Source organism: Homo sapiens, chromosome 10, assembly GCF_000001405.40.
Source record: "Homo sapiens chromosome 10, GRCh38.p14 Primary Assembly".
Lineage (NCBI taxonomy): Eukaryota > Metazoa > Chordata > Mammalia > Primates > Hominidae > Homo > Homo sapiens.
Genome location: NC_000010.11, coordinates 101,884,937 through 101,901,946, shown reverse-complemented (window position 1 = coordinate 101,901,946; position 17,010 = coordinate 101,884,937). Strand labels below are relative to the sequence as shown.

General features: G+C 41.6%; 1 protein-coding gene across 18 annotated transcripts in view; it reads left to right on the top strand.

Annotated features, from left to right (window-relative positions):
• The window catches only part of ARMH3 (armadillo like helical domain containing 3), a 210,575-nt gene that overhangs the window by 154,227 nt on the left and 39,338 nt on the right, over positions 1-17,010 (top strand). For all 18 annotated transcript variants that reach the window (XR_001747199.2, XM_047425735.1, XM_011540157.3 and 15 more), the window contains one exon: positions 12,457-12,535. Coding sequence is in view for 17 of the 18 variants with exons in the window: in XM_047425735.1 (XP_047281691.1) it covers positions 12,457-12,535 (79 nt within the window). In the remaining variant the exon portion in view is untranslated. Of the gene's footprint in view, positions 1-12,456; positions 12,536-17,010 lie in introns of those variants that run through there.

Sequence of the window (17,010 nt, the reverse complement as noted above, 5' to 3'; positions counted from 1 at the left end):
GTAATATTTCTTTCCTTGAGGAGAAACTATTTTGCAATGAAGTTTTAACTTCTTCCCTTTTCAGAGAGACTATCAACTTCACTTAGGCAGAACGGTTCAATACTTTGGGCAGCTTGTTTATTCTTTATTTACTTCTTGATTTACCAAACTATCCCATTTTCTTTACCTCACTGACATAACTGCTACCCAGCCCCCCTGCTTTCTCCCATCCTCTCTACCTCTCAAGCCTCCCTTCTGTAGCCAACCCTACCACCTGCCACAGTATCCACACCCAGGCTTCTTATAGGAAGCCATCTCTGTGAGGGTCTGTCTGAAAGCAACATAAGTCAGTGCTGGAGCAGGTGAAAGCAGCCTGCTTTTTCAGAGCTGACGAGAAGGGCGAAGCTCTCTGTCACAGTGGGTGGGTGAGCAGCTAGGGCCGAGTAACGCCACGTCTCAGTGGTTAGCACCTGCAGGCTCAGAGCTGACAGTGCACTGTAATAAGATTCATCTTTGTTCACTTAACTGATGTGGGCTTTATGGTAAATGTTCGTTTGCTTAATTACTTTGGCAGACTTGCTGATTGCCTTTCCTGAGGAGTTCTAAAAGGTCCCCCTGGGATGGAGTATAAGCCTGTTTCCGTGTCTTTTAATTTCATTCTTTTCCTGGAGTACTTGAAAACCAGTACGTGATCCATATGGCCCACCCTCTCATCTCTCCTGTATGTGAACATCAGGACCACTGCTATCTAGTATGGAATCCATATGGCCCACACTGGACCACTGGGAAATCTTGACAGGTTTCTTCCTCCTTTGTGCACATGAGATCCTCCTCCTCCACCACTGAGGTATTATGTATGGCTCATCTAGTCTAGTTTAGGATTCATATGCCTCTTTTTCTCTAACTGGCATGGGATCCACAGAATATTTCCCTCCTTCCTCAGTCTAGCATGTGATCCACTAAAATAATTTCCCTTTATTTTTAGAGACAGGGTCTTGCTCTGTTGCCCAGGCTGGAGTACAGTGGCATGATCACAGCTCACTGTAACCTCAAACTCCTGGGTTCAAGCAATTCTCATGCCTCATCCTCATGAATGGCTAGGGCTATAGGTGTGCACATTATGCTGGCTAATTTAAAAAAAATTTTTTGTAGATATGGGGGTCTCACTATGTTGCCCAAGCTGCTCTTGAACTCCTGGCCTCAAGCAGTTCTCCCACCTGGGCGTCCCAAAGTGTTGGGATTACAGGCATAAGCCACTGTGACCAGCCAATTCGCCTTTATTTTTGAAGTGACGGGAAAAGAAGACTAGTCAATTGCTCATTTTCTTGCTCTCCCATGCTTAAAATTTAAGTGTCTTATAATAAATTGATTAATTGGGCTAATGGGAATGAGGTGTAATTAAAATATTTCAGGTTTTTGTCTCATGCCAGTTTTTAAAAAGTTCTTAATTCATATTCAAGAGATTGGAATGTTCACCATTAATCAAAATTAGATCAGTTTTGGGGGTTTTGAGCTTATCTCCAGTGCTTCAGAATTCCTCTTAGGTATGTGTTAGGATTTTCTTATGTTCTGAAAAGGGACAGAACATCTAATACACATTTTCTTATAGGCCATTTTGTTCCTTTATATTCATTTGGCATTTCTGAGCGTGTAGAGGAGCCTTGCTTCTGGAAATAGGAAATCCAGGAAAAGGGAAATAGGAAAACCAATTCCAAAGATTATTAGAGGTTTTCATTCTGTAGCCCCAGGAACTCTGCCAGTAACTTCGGACCTGCCACTAGAGAACAGAGTAAGGTAGTCAGAAGCACAGAGTGATGGATCTGAGCAACGATAGGATAATCTTATAGGTGTTTTATGTTTAGGAAAGTTTTGGAGCCTCTTTTCATTTATTGAAAGATTTAATAAAAAGTAGACATAAGGGGAATGGATTAAGTGATGATGCCTTTTATGGAAATGTAGATGGTCCATTTGACTTTTGTGGTTCTTTCAACACTTGTGGTTCATTCTTCTCCATTTACATTGGATCATTGGGTAAAGTAAGCAACTAGATGCACTGGTCAGTAGTTTATCCTTCTTGCTGGTTGTCAAAATGCCTTTTATACTAACTAAGGTTCCATTTTTGTGTCTTTGGTCCTGAAAAGAATGGCCACAGGGACAGTAGTATAATTTATGGAGGGAAATAATTGTCCTGAAAGGGTTAAGACCTAAACCTTAGGGGGTAAGTTAGAAGGATAATCCTAACAGGTCAGTTGCTGATGTTTTGATTAGATAGTTTCAAAGTGAAAAGGTTAGAAGGTATTCTTACTTGAGGTTTTATTTTGTTTAATGTTAATCAGCAGAGTCTTTGAGGCTTGTAATGCACTTCTGTTAACAGGCATCAAGGGAAATTGCTTTTTTTGTTGTTGGTGATTTGGGTGGGCTGAAGATTCATTGACTCCATGAAGAAGGAAGCTTAGTACTGCATGAAATGGGAGTCTGTGAGGCAATTCTGAAGGTGAAAGAAATGTTAGTTTAAAATTAAATAACTCAACCTCAGATGAACCATTTTAACTACTGCCACATACACTCAGTCATACCTTTACCCCTTCTCAAAAGCCAGTATTTTACCTGTATGCCTGAAGGTTTCCCAGGTAAAAGCAATTACGAATATGATGGTTTTCTTGTCTTTAATCTCAGATACCTGAGAACATACTCTGTAGTATATTGCATAGTAGTATATCACTGGACTGGTCTAGGAAAAGGGAAGCTGCCTTGGGGGAAAAAAAATTCCTTAGGGCTAGTTAGATGGTATACAGGAAAACAGAGAGGAAAGTTTTGGAAGTGAAATTCAACCAAAGAAACTACTACTCAGAGAGGTTGGTCTCTTGCCCAAAGTCACACAGTTAATAAGTGGAGGAATCCAGATTTTTTCAAATCTCCTTTCTCTAAAGCCTTGCTGTTTTCTGTATGAACCATGTTGTTCGGGGAAGCAATGGTATTTTAACTGGGCCTTCAAGGAAAAAGATGACTTAGGCTTTTTAGTGGTGATAACATTCTATGTGAAGAGATCCAGGTAAACAAAAGCAAGACATCCAGGTGTAAATATTTAGTAAGCATTTGAAAATACAGGGCTACAGCTCTTAATGAGGTTGGAGCTTAAGATCCAAATTTTTTACTAAGCTTGAGAAATTCACCCACAATCAGACTCGTTAATGTAAATCTGGTAGTCTTATAAGAGTAGTTTTAGGGTGAAACCTTCAAGAATCTTCATATACATACATATATGTGTGTGTGTGTGTGCGCGTGTGCGCGTATTGAGTATAACAGTTATGTTTCCTCCTTCCTTGGAATGAGAGTTACAAAAACAACTTTTGCTTGTTTTTCCCTGTTCTGCCTGAAAGATGTACATAGCAGCTTTTAGAGATAGCCTGCTTCCTTCAGGTATCTCAGTAATGAAACAATCGCCATGTTCTGAGCTTCTGAATGAAACTATTTATTTATTGTTTCATTAAAGACTCGTAGATGCTTCTGTCCATGGGAGATTGCATTTTGGAGGATTTGCTTTAGCTTTATATTGGATATGAGGAGGAATCCACATTTTCTTTTTCTTCTTCTTTTTTTTTTATTTCTTAAGACTGGGTCTTGCTCTGTCACCCAGGCTAGGGAGCGCAGTGGTGTGATCATGGTTCCCTGCAGCCTTGACATCCCTGGCTCAAATCATCCTCCCATCTCAGCCTCCTGAGTAGCTGGGACTACAACAGGCACATGTCACCATGCCCAGCTAATTTTAAAAAAAAAAAATTTTTTTTTTTGTGCTCCTGAGCTAAGCACTTCTCCCACTTCAGCCTCGCAAAGTGCTGGAATTACAGGGGAGAGCCACCGTGCCTGGTCCACATTTTCTCTTAAGCTATATTGCCTACATTGTTAAAGGAACATTTCCATGCTTATCTTTAATGCAAGTTCGACATTAACTATGTGTCTCAGTTAACAACCACCCGGCACTTGGGAAAAGAGAGCTGCTTTGCAGAGTCATGAGTCAGAGAGAATAAGTTTACAATGGACCAAGAAATCCCCAGCCGGTTTACTGTTCATCCTTACTGTTCCATCTATCCACTTCATTTTGCTTCAGCCTGTATAAGTGACCTCTATCTTCTGCAGTCAGAAGTTGACAGTTGCATTGGAGGGTGGCCCAGATTCCTGCTCTTAAAGGTGCATTGGGCACAGTGCCATCCCTCACTGTGGCTGGCTTTAGCAATTTCTCTTTACTATGATGTTGTCTATTTATTTTTCCTTCCCCTTTGGGACTTTCTAATTCAGTGGCTTTAGAGGCCCCGTATCAGAATAAAACACATTCCCCCACACCTCACCTCATCCTCCCCACCCTCAAACAAACACACAAACAAAACCTAGGCTTACTTTTAGAAGGTATTAGATTACTTAAAAAAGGAATGCCAGAAAGCTTTCCTCTAGCCTCTTGATATGACTTAAGAGGAAGAAAAGCTTTATTGTCATCAGTGTCAACTTTTGCTCCTTCTTTGGGAGGACAGCTGTTCATGTCTGAGCCACCTTTTTTCCTGGGATGAGGATAAAACATTTTAATTTTTATTTTCATACTTTGGGAGGATAGCTAGTGATTCTGGATCTCCAGAAGCAAAAGCTACTTACAGTGAAACTGGACAAAATATTGGTGAGCAAAATAAATTTGGTACCTGCTGTCTTGGAGCTTTTAGTTCAAGTTTCAGAGAAGCTAGAGGTTTGGTTAGAAATTACATTCTCTTTTCCCACTAAGTTCTGTCTGTGGGTAGAACTCCTTTCCCCTTCCTTGGGCCTTATTACTACCCATATTTCTTTAAATCCTCTTCCCAATTCTGTTTCCCTGAATAATGTGGGCAACTCCAACTATTGCTGGAAAAATAAATTGGTAAAGGATGTTGAGAATAAGAGAAACTTTCTTCTCATCCACCAACCCTGCCACCCCCCTCAACATCCTATTCCAGCAGCCAAAAGTTGACATCCTTTGCCACATGCAGAACTTTTGACTTAAGTATATCATACATATTACCATGAGTTGGACTCTTCTCACCTCCAGGTAGGGTCAGTCCTTCCTGAGCATGTGCCCTTCAGCACCAGTCTCACTCGTCATCTCTGCCACCTTTTGTGGTATTGCACCACAGAGCCCTCTCTCTCCAGAAGCTCCTGAAACTCCAGCTTCTGTAATTTATAGGATAGTCCATGGCCCAGTGAGCTCCTTTTCCTACTGCCATCAGCATTGCTAACATATGCAAGCTTTAGAAAAGTTTTCTTGGTGAGTGAATCACCCTGGGAATCACCACATTAATTCTGTGTGGAACTGGTTGGAGAAAGCAGCTTGCTCAAAAACTGCTGGGGCCAAGGAGGCCATAATCATTTATATATGATACAGTTCATCCACTTAAAGTGTACAGTTCATGTTTTCTGGTATAATCATAGGGTTGTACAACCATCATCACAATCTAACTTTAGAATATTGTGTTCCCCCTGAAAGAAACCCTATACCCAATAGCAGTCACTCCCTATTCTTCCCTAACCCTCCTTGTAGCCCTAAGCAACCATGAATCTACTTTCTGCTTCTACAAATTTGCATATTCTGGACCTTTCCTATAAATTGAAGTAGCTGTACCATTTTACACTTCCACCAGCAATGTATGAGAGTTCTTCTCCACATCCTTGCCAACACTTGTTATTGTTTTGTTTGTTTGTTTGTTTGTTTGTTTGTTTTTGAGACAGGGTCTGTGCTCTCACCTAGGCTGGAGTGCAGTGGCTCCACCTTAGCTCACTGCAGCCTCGGCCTCCTAGGCTCAAGTGATCTGCCCACCTTGGCCTCCCAAGTAGCTGGGACTACCGGCACACGCCACCATACCCGGCTAATTTTTTTTTTGTAATTTTGTAGAGATGGGGGTCTCCCCATGTTGCCCAGACTTGTTTTGAACTCCTGGGATTGCAGGCATGAGTCACTGTGCCCAGCCTTGCTATTCTCTTTTTATCACTATCCTAATGGGTGTGAAGTGGTATCTCATTGTGGTTTTGATTTGGATTTCCCTAATGACTAATGATATTGAGTATCTGTTCTTGTCTATTCAAATAATTTGTTCTTTTAAAAATTGTATTATTTGTGTGTAATTTATTGTTGAATTATAAGAGTCCTTTATATATTCTGGTACAAGTTTCTTATCAGACAAAATTTGCAAATATTTTCTCTTATTCTGTGGATTGTCCTTTCACTTTCTTGATGGCATTGTTTGCAGCACAGTTTAAACTTCAGATTGATCCACTTTTTCTTTTTCATTTGTGCTTTTGGTGTTTTATCTAAGAAATCACTGCCTGACCTCAAGTCATGAAGATTTACTTTTAAGAATTTTACAGTTTTTAAGGGCCGGGCGCAGTGGCTCACACCTGTAATCCCAACACTTTGGGAGGCTGAGGCAGGCGGATCATGAGGTCAGGAGATTGAGACTATCCTGGCTAACATGGTGAAACCCCGTCTCTACTAAAAATACAAAAAATTAGCCGGGCGTGGTGGCGGGCGCCTGTAGTCCCAGCTACTCGGGAGGCTGATGCCGGAGAATGGCGTGAACCCGGGAGGTGGAGCTTGCAGTGAGCCAAGATTGCACCACTGCACTGCAGCCTGGGCGACAGAGCGAGACGCCCTCTCGAAAAAAAAAAAAAAAAAAGAATTTTATCGTTTTTAGACCTTATATTTAGATCTGTGATCCATTTCGAGTTGTTTTATGTGTGGTATAAGGAAGGGATCTAACTTCATTCTTTTGCATGTGGATAACTACTTGTCCCAGTACCATTTGTTGAAAAGACTATTTTTTCCCTATTTAATTGCCTTGCCACCTTTGTCGAAGGGAAACCTTAATCTTTTCATAATGGCTATGTTTTCTCATTCATTGTCCACTCAAACCTTCCTGTATTTTCTCACAGTTCTGGAGGCTAGAAGTCCCACATCAAAGTCCAGCAGGGTCAGTTTCTGGTGAGAGCTGTCTTCCTGGCTTATGAGATGGCAGCCTTCTCACTGTGTCGTCATGTGACAGATAGCAAGAGAGCTCTCTGGTGCCTTTTTTTTTTTTTTTTTTGGCAGAGTTTCGCTCTTTTGCCCAGGCTGGAGTGAAGTGGCATGATTCTGGCTCACTGCAACCTCTGGCCCCTGGGTTCAAGCAGTTCTCCTGCCTCAGCCCCCCAAGTAGCTGTCAGGTTTTGACCAGTAAAAGTGAGAGAGAAGTACTGTTAGAATCTCCCAGAAACCCCCTCCCCAAAGGTTCAGAAAAGATGGTAGTAAATCCTTTTGGAGGTGCTATCAGTGAGAAGGAAAGCCTAAAGAAAATGGAGAGATTCCTCCTTCATCTATAAACGTGGTGCCTTATCTTTCTCCCGCCAAGAGCTAGTCAAGCATGAGTCCTAGTCTAGCGCCTTGGCCAGGTGGGATGGTGTGGAATCACAACCCAGGTGAGCCTGGTAGCCGTCAGACTTCCTGGGGAAGGAGAAGCGACGTAATTCAGTTACTGCAAAGGTGTGTCACTCAGCTTGGTCTGGCTTAGCCTGGTTCCAGTCTTCTGTCATTTCTGTGCCATGTCAGGACATATTTCCATTTCACTAGTACAAAGTACTAAGAACTTTAATGGGAAGCCTCCAAGCCCTGTCTGGAATTCCTTTCTAAGAGCCTGGAGAGAGAAGAGCCAGTGTTAGACTATTTTTCTTACTGCTTAGGGCGAATACCCTCCACCTGGCATCTCCAGGACATTAGGTTAGCACTCAGATTTTGCAGATAACAGTCCCAAAGAAACAGCAAAAAAAACATAAGGCCGACACATATACTGCCTTTGTGGGTACTGAGTTAGAGACTACTAACTGAATCTAGACTGTTCCACCTTACTCAGGTTTCTAAACAGTTTCTCAGCCTGCCTGGTGGGAGACCTTAATCACCTGCTTAGATCTGAAGTTCTGAGATGAGATTGTCACAGGGCAGGTTGGAAGATGATTTTATCTTCATTCCAAATATATATTCCCAGAGTGGTAAATACCCTCAGGATAAGTTTGCCCAAACAATATCAGCATGTATGTCCTGCAGTATGAAGAACAGGTCACCCATAGAGCCAGCTGACACCTGATAAGTGTAATGGTGAGAAGGGAAGGAAACAAGTGTACATTTTGAAGGTAATGCCTTCTAGGTTTTCCTTTCTCTCCCTCACTCCCTCCCTCCCTGCCTCCCAGTCCCCTCCCCTTTCTTTCCTCTTTCCTTTTCCCCTTCCCTCTCTTCTTCCTCTCTCTTTTTTTTTCCTGTCTTATGTCCTTGCTTTGTTTCCTTGTGAAAGAACTACTCAGATAGAAAGGCAAGAGAATTAGATCCCCAGCAATTCCATTCCCAGGGATTATTTCACTGTTCCAACCTCACTAGCTCCACTGGGTTGCCCCGGTGGCTGCTAACATTCCACCCAGACAGAAGCTAGGGTACTTGGACCTCTGTATTCTCCAAACCTAGGCAAGAATAAAATAATAATAATAATAAAAAACAAGAACAAAACCTCTAGTTCAGTTGAGACAGGAATTTAAAAAAAAAATTTCCTAAGAAATGTAAGGAAAGCCTGATTTAAAAAAACAAAAAACAAAACCTAAAAAAGCATAAAATGTGGATGCATTTACAGAGTGCAAAATCTTTTTCGAAGATACCTGTGGTCTAATGGTAGATTGATTTGACTACTGAAGCTCCTTTCCTTCAATCGTGTTGGTCCTGGACACTAAACCCTATGACTCAGACTCCACCCTGAGTGAACTTTAAATTGGTGCTGCTGCTAGGATCAGTGGGATTATCAGTTCTCTAAACTTGCTTCACCTACCTTCTCATTGGGTTTAGGGTCCTGGTTTTCCTTTCTGCTTATGGGCTGTGGTCATCTCTGCCAACATCCTTGAGCCTTGCTCTCTGATTGAGAAAAATGTTTGACCCCCACTTGGTCATAAAATTCTTTCCTACTTTGGAATTAGAGCAAACCTCAGCCTTAACTTGCAGATATTATCTCCAGCTCTCTTGGTAGTTTCTGGAAAAATAAGTTGTCAGAACTCTTTTCTTGCTCCTGACTCATGTCTGTCGTATTTGGTTTATTCACTTATTGAATATTTATTGAGCACAAGCTGTGTACCAGGCATTGGGTTAGATGTTTGGCGTTGCTTTTCCAAGTTTTTATTATATGTACTATAAATGTTATATATTATGTTAGATAAATTTTACAAATGTACCCTCTAAGATTTAGCCCTCTTTCAACAAATATTTCTTATATGGCTGCAATAGACTATTCCCAGGTACTATGATAAGTGCTGGGATTGGTATTTTTTTTTAAGTTTTTGGTTTATACTTTTATTACCTGAATTAGATTAAATGGTTCTATAATTCTTTACTATCAAGAAGCTATAAAATAGTGATTTGTTATGCTAGCTCATACATACACACACACAAACACACATACACACGTGCACACATTTTATTTTTTATTTTTGAGAGAAGGTCTCGTTATATTGCCCAGGCTGGAGCGTGGTAGCACAAACACCACTCACTGCAGCCTCATCCCCCTGGGCTCAAGTGATCCTCCCACTTCAGCCTTCCAAGTAGCTGAGACTACAGGCAAATGCCACCACACCTGGCCCTGGCTTATTATTATTATTATTTTTATTTTGTAGAGACAAGGTCTCACCATGTTGCTCAGGCTGGTCTCGAACTCCTGGGTTCAAGTAATCCGCCCACCTTAGCCTCCCAAAGTGCTGGGATTATAGTTGTGAGCCACTGCACCCAGCCCACGCACCCATTTTGTTGTTGTTGTTGATTTTGGGTGGGGTTTTTTGCGGGGAGACAGGGTTTCACTATGTCACCCAGGCTGGAGTGCAGTGGCACAATCTTGGCTCACTGAAACCTCTGTCTCCCAGGCTTAAGTGATCCTCCCACCTCAGCCTCCCAAGTAGCTGGGACCACAAGTGTGTGCCACCACACCTGGCTAAATTTTTTTGTATTTTTTGTAGAGACAGGGTTTCACCATGTTACCCAGGCTGATCTTGAACTCCTGGGCTCAAGTGATCCGCTCACCTTAGCCTCTCAAAGTGCTGGAATTACATGCGTGAGCCACCACGCCTAGCCCACACTACCCATTTTAATAAACTTTCTGTTTTGGAATAATTTTAGATTTATAGAAAAAGTAAAAAGATAATCCACAGAGTTCCTGGATACCCTCAGCCTAATTTCCGTCATTTTATGTCACCAAGGTACATGTATCAACACTAAGTAACTGGCATTATTATTAACTAAATTCCGTATTTTAATTAGATTTTACCAGTTTTTCCATTAATGTCCTCTTGCTGTGCCAGGGTCCATTCCAGGATATGCATTTAATTGTCATATCTCCCCAGTGATTTGTGACAATTTCTCAACTCTTGTTTTTCATGACTTTTAGAGTCTTAAGAAAGTACTGGCTGGGCACGGTGGCTCACACCTGTAATCCCAATACTTTGGGAGACCAAGGTGAGTGGATCACCTGAAAGGTCAGGAGTTTGAGAACAGCTTGGCCAATGTGGTGAAACCCCATCTCTATTAAAAATACAAAATTAGCTGGTCATGGTGGCGGGGGCCTGTAATCCCAGCTTCTTGGGAAGCTGAGGCAGAAGAATTGCTTAAACCCGGAAGGTGGAGGTTGCAGGGAGCTGAGATCGCACCATTGCACTCCAGCCTGGGCAACAAGAGCAAAACTCCGTCTCAAAAAAAAAAAAGGAAGAAAGAAAGAAACTACCAGTCAGCGTCAGGAGCAATGGCTCATGCCTGTAATCCCAGCATTTTAGGAGGTGAGGAGGGAGGACTGCCTGAGCTCAGGAGTTTGAGACCAGCCTGGGCAATCTGGCAAAACCCCATCTCTACAAAAAATACAAAAATTAGCCAGACATGGTGGCACATGCCTGTAGTCCCAGCTACTTGGGAGGCTGAAGTGGGAGGATTGCTTGAGCCAAGGAGATGGAGGCTGTAGTGAGCCATGTTTGTGCCACTGCACTCCAGCCTGGATGACAAAGTGAGACCCTGTCTCAAAAAAAAAAAAAAAAAAAATACCAGTCAGGTATCCTGTAGAATGTCCCCTGTCTGATATTTTTCTTGTGATTAGATTGAGATATTAAGTGCCCTTCTCATCAGATCATACCAAGGGTTACATGGTATCTACATGATATCACTGGCAATCTACAGCTTCATCATTTGGTTAAGGTAGTGTTTACCAGGCTTCTTTGCTATAAAGTTACTGTGTTTCCCATTTGCTACTCTAGTCTTTGGCAATAAATCACTAAATCTAGCCCACCCTCAGGAATGAGAAATAAACTTCATTTCCTATAGGGAGAAGTATCTACATATATTATTTGAAATTGTTCTATGAGAAAGATTTGTTGGCCAGCCGCTGTGGCTCATGTCTATAATCCCAGCACTTTGGGAGGTGGAGACCTGTGGATTGCTTGAGCCCAGGCTTGAGCCTGGGCGACATGGCAAAACCGTGTTTCTACCAACAAAATACAAAAATAATTAGCCGGGCATGCTGGCACATGCCTGTAGTCCCAGCTGCTAGGGAGGCTTAGGTGGGAGGATCGCTTGAGCCTGGGAGGTTAAGGATGCAGTGAGCCATGATTGTGCCACTGCATTCCAGACTTGGTAACAGAGTGACACCCTGTCTAAAATATAAATATAAATAAATATATATATATATATGAAAAAAAGAGATTTGTCTCTCTCTATGAATCATTTATATTCATATGGACTCATGTAAAACCCTGATCTAAAACCTGTGTTCTTTTTGCTACACCAGGCAAGAAATGACAAAGACCTATACCAAGGCACTGGTTTCAGGGAAATTTATTTCAGATTTCAGAGATTTTTAAGAGGTAGATTTGATAAGACTAGGTAATTTTGGATGTGACTAAGTGATGGAGAAGGGAGTGTTTTAAAATGACACTCAGCTTTTGGGTTGAATGGCCGGATATAAAATTTTGGTTTGAAACTATTTACTAACAAGTATGAAGATTGCTTCTATTTAGCCTATATGTTGTTGGCCCAGCTTTACTGAGTGCCCTGTTCTCCCAAGTCAGACAAGACAGCTTTTCTTTCTGATTGAAGCACCAGGGCCCCCTAGTGGACAGCCCTCTGGGTTCCCTTTCTCATCTGAAGGACTCAATATTTTTGTTTGGCTTTGGGTTTTTTCCGTTAGTTCATTTGCAGAGCAGAGATGCTTGATTCTATTTTCTGTCTAATAGTAAATCCTTCCCACTTCAGAGTTATCAATTCACCCCCATTTGTGACTACCTCATGTTCAATAAGAGGAAGTTACCCAGTCACAATCGGTCCCATGCTCTAGTACTCTAAACCAGAGGGTACTTGATCCTTATTTTTTAACAGATGTATCCACCTCTTCTATCTGGCACCATATTAATACGAATTCTTTGTTTCAGAGCCATCATCAACCACTTTAACCCCAAAATTGAGTCCTACGCTGCTGTGAATCACATATCCCAACTGTCAGAGGAGCAGGTAAGCCACTACTTTCCCCAGATGACCTAGTTGGTGGCTAGGATCAAGCAGTTGCCTTCTCTCTGATGGCAGGGGGATTCTGTGACTGAGCTTTTGTGGTAGTGACCAGGGCCAGGCTGCTGAGAGGAATTAGTGTGGGGTTGGTTGATAGTACTTTTAATACAGAGTGATGCTGTCTGCGTTTGTGCCATCTGAAGGGTTTGTTAATTATATAGAAGATATGTAGGTGAAAATCTGGTGAATTATTTGTTTTAGAGTGTGATAAGGCATTTCTTTTTTTAAAATTTTAGGCAGAGAGTCATTTTGATTTTTGAAAATAAGAAATGAGAACTTAGAAATGGATGAAACTGCCAATTAGAAAAACCCTGAGTTCAGCTTAATTTGAAGCTATTTGGCTCGTTAAAACATGAGCCCTCATTGGGACAGATTTTCCTTAGTAATTGAGTTCTCTTTGCCTTGAGCAATTATTTTTGAGGAGGTTTTTCTGTGGTATGGACTGAGTTAGAGATGCAGATAGCCTTGTGTCTTTGTTTTCTTTAAATCTGGCCTGATTTCCCCTTCTCCCAGAGTGCCTGCACTCAGCTCTGCATTATATAAAAGTACAGATGAGGCGTTAGCGTGGCATGGGATTGAACTTGATGTGTCAAAATGAAACTCTTGAGTCCTTTTTTAAAAAGCACTAAATAAGACATCCTATTCACATGGTTCCCTTTCCTTTTCATCCTACTCCCAAATTGGAGGGGCCAGGGTATAGACCCCAAGCCAGTAGGAAGACCATATGTGCCCTGTTCTTCCTTTTTTGCCAGTGCATCTTTGTAACCCTTGTTTGAGCTTCTTGCTGGCAGAGCCAGCCAGCCAGCTATGATTTGACCATGTGTTTCAGTGTTCCTCAAAGCTATTCAGTTCTCCCAGTGAAGCACCAAGCAAGCCTTTTTCCTAATAGACAAGCTTCTCAGTATTCCCACCAGTGGCTCTTTTCTCAGCCAGATGGATAGGACTCTATTAGTCTGTCAGTTGTTCCCTTTGACATATTTGTTCTCTTTTGTGAGCCCAGCTGTGAGAATCCATCCTCACATTTAAAACTGCTTTTATAAATGGCCTTCATTTCCTTTTTTCCTCTCTGCCTGTGGAGCTATCCTGAATCCTGTTCTTTGATGCTGTGCTGTCTGTGAGGTGCTTTGTGATGCTACCATTTTCTTGTTGGACTAGTTCACATTAATTTTACTATATCATTTTTATGCAAAATAATTCAACATCTTGAGTTTTATGCAGTAAGAGAAGGGGTGACTTTCCTACCACAGTGAGCTCTGGTTAGTCTAAAAGCTTTTTTTTTTTTTTAAAAAAAAAAAAAAGGAGACATTTACTCTGTCAGCCACGTGCAGTATTCATCCCCCAGCAGCTTGGGAAGGTCAAGCTGAAATCTTTCTCCAGCAGTAGCTGCCACAGACCAATAATAAAAATCCTTTCTGGCACACAAGGCAATCTGTGAAAGGATGATTAGCAAGCACGTGTCCTCAGCCTCCTCCAACTTCTTTCAAAGTTAAATGAAATGATGAAAGTGCCTCTCAAAAAGAGTGCGCAGGCCAGAGACGAAGCGATTTCAATGGAGAGGGATTTCATAGGAGAATGGGGAAAGGATAGCAAGATTGATTTACTTGGTCAATATGTAATTGTATACCTGCTGGGTGCGGTGGCTCACACTTGTAATCCCAGCACTTTGGGAGGCTGAGGTGGGCAGATTGCTTGAGCCCAGGAATTCAAGACCACCCTGTACCACATGGTGAAGCTGTCTCTACAAAAAAAAAAAAAAAAAAAAAAAGAGAGAGAGAGAGAAAGAAAAATTAGCCAGACGTGGTGGTGTGCACCTGTAGTCCCAGCAACTTGGGAGGCTGAGGTGGGAGCTGAGGTGAACCCAGGGAGGTTGAAGCTGCAGTAAGCTGTGATCATGCCACTGCACTCCAGCCTGGGTGACAATGAGACCCTGTCTCAAAATAATAGTAATAATAATAATTATCATTATTATTGTATACCTTCTATAATATAAGTTGTGGTGCTAAGGTAAGTGGGGATCAGTGGTGAATAATCTTAGTCATTGCTCTCATGGAGTCTTTGTGTACTCATTACCTCTTTTAATAGTCCTTTTCACTTGGGGGTTTGGAGGAGGGTGATACTATTCTGGGACCTTCTTGAGAGCCACCCTCAAAATAGTTGTTGCTTCTCTTCTCTAACTGATTTTGAAGGGTGCTAAATGACAGCATTACAGTACACTTGGTTTATTCTCAGCACTATCAGATTAGAGGTATTTGACTGCCTTGTTAATCTCCAGCATGTGTTGGAGCACTTCTCTCCCTTCACTTATGAGCATTAATGTGAATGTCACTTAATGTTAACAGTATTCATGGCCTCTCAAAGAGCTAGTTTTATGGATTGCAGTAGGGCCCTGCAGTTGTTAGCAGCAGACTGAGTAGAGAAAAAAGTCAAGAACTTAATCCTCAATAGATTCTAAAGTACCCCTAAAATAAAACCTAAAGAGCATGGATAGATGTTAAATGGAATTTGTTACATTTAGTAAGTTAGCAGAGAAGACAGGGCACTTTCCTATGTCTGCCTGCCCAGCCTGCCATTTTTTTCTGGCAAAGAGATTTGTGAATTCTTGAATTCTGACAACCCCTAGACACATTCCAGCCTCTGTTTGAGGCATTTCAAGGTGGTACTTGTAAATCCATTATTGCATATTAAACAAAGCCCAGCCTTTCACACTGGGGTTTCTTTTCAGACATCCAGAAGGTAAATGACATTTTTTTGTTAATTGTCATTGGCTTCATCATTCGTGATAAAGTTTTTAATCAGTTGATACCCTCAATGTGACTGAAGGATCATTCTTTTTTGTTTGTTTGTTTTTGAGACAGAGTCTCACTCTGTCACCCAGGCTGGAGTACAGTGGCACGATCTTGGCTCACTGCAGCCTCTGTCCCCTGGGTTCAAGCGATTCTCCTGCCTCAGCCTCCCAGGTAGCTGGGATTAGAGGTGCATGCCACCATGCCTGGCTGATTTTTGTTTTTTTTAAGTAGGGTTTCGCCATGTTTGCCAGGTTGGTCTTGAACTCCTGACCTCAAATGAGCCACCTGCTTTAGCCTCCCAAAGTGCTGGCATTACAGGCATGAGCCACTGCACCCAGCCTGGTCATACATTTTTTTAATGTAATAAACTGTATGTATTTTTATGGTATATATGCAGGTGCTATATTTGTCTGGGGTTAATTGTGAAGCTTGTTCATTTTTACCTCTTTTTTTTTTATATGTGGTAGAATATACATAACATAAAATTTACCATTTTAACCCCCTTTTTTTTTTTGAGATGGAGTCTTGCCCTTGTTGCCCAGGCTGGAGTGCAATGGCGCGATCTTGGCTCACCGCAACCTCTGCTTCTCGGGTTCAATCAATTCTCCTGCGTCAGCCTCCCTAGTAGCTGGGATTACAGGCACCCACCACCACGCTCAGCTAATTTTTTGTATTTTTTAGTAAAGATGGGGTTTCACCATGTTGGCCAGCCTGGTCTCAAAACTCCTGACCTCAGGTGATCCACCCGCCTCGGGCTCCCAAAGTGCTGGGATTACAGGCGTGAGCCACTGTGCCCAGCCCATTTTAACCCTTTTTAAGTGTACAGTTCAGTGGCATTAAATACATTCACATTGTTGTGCAACCATCTCTGCTCTCCTTCTCTCCAGGGCTTTTTCATCATTCCATACTGAAACTCTATATCCATTAAACAGTTACTCCCCATTTCCCCTACCCTGAGCCCCTGATAACCACTGTTCTACTCTGTCTCTATGAATTTGACTATTCTAGGTACTTTAATGGAATCATACAGTATTTGGACTTTTGTGACAAGCTTATTTCACTTAGCATCATGTATTCAAGATTCATCCATATTGTACCATGTGCCACAATTTTGTTCCTTTTTAAGGTTTAATAATATTCCATTGCATGTATATACATTTTGTTTATTCATCCATTGGTGGACATTTGGGTTATCTCCACCTTTCAGCTATTATGAATAATGTTGCTTTTGAACATTGGCGTATTACAACTATGTGTTGGAGTCCCTGCTTTCAATTCTTTTGTGTATATACTCAGAAGTGGAATTGCTGGATCACAGGATAATTCTATGTTTAACATTTTGAGGAACTGCCAGACTGTTTCTCAGATTGGCTGTACCATTTTACATCCCAATTTCTCCACATCCTTGCCAACACTTGTTTTCTGTTTTTTTTTTAATAGCCATCCTAATGGGTATGACGTAGTATCTCATTGTAGTTTTGATTTGCATTTACCTAATGATATATTGAGCATCTCTTCATGTACATATTAGCCATTTGTAGATCATCTTTGGAGAAATTCTTTTCAAGTCCTTTGCACATTTCTTAATTGGGGAATTTTTTTGTTGTTGTTAACTGTTAGGAATTCTTTATATAT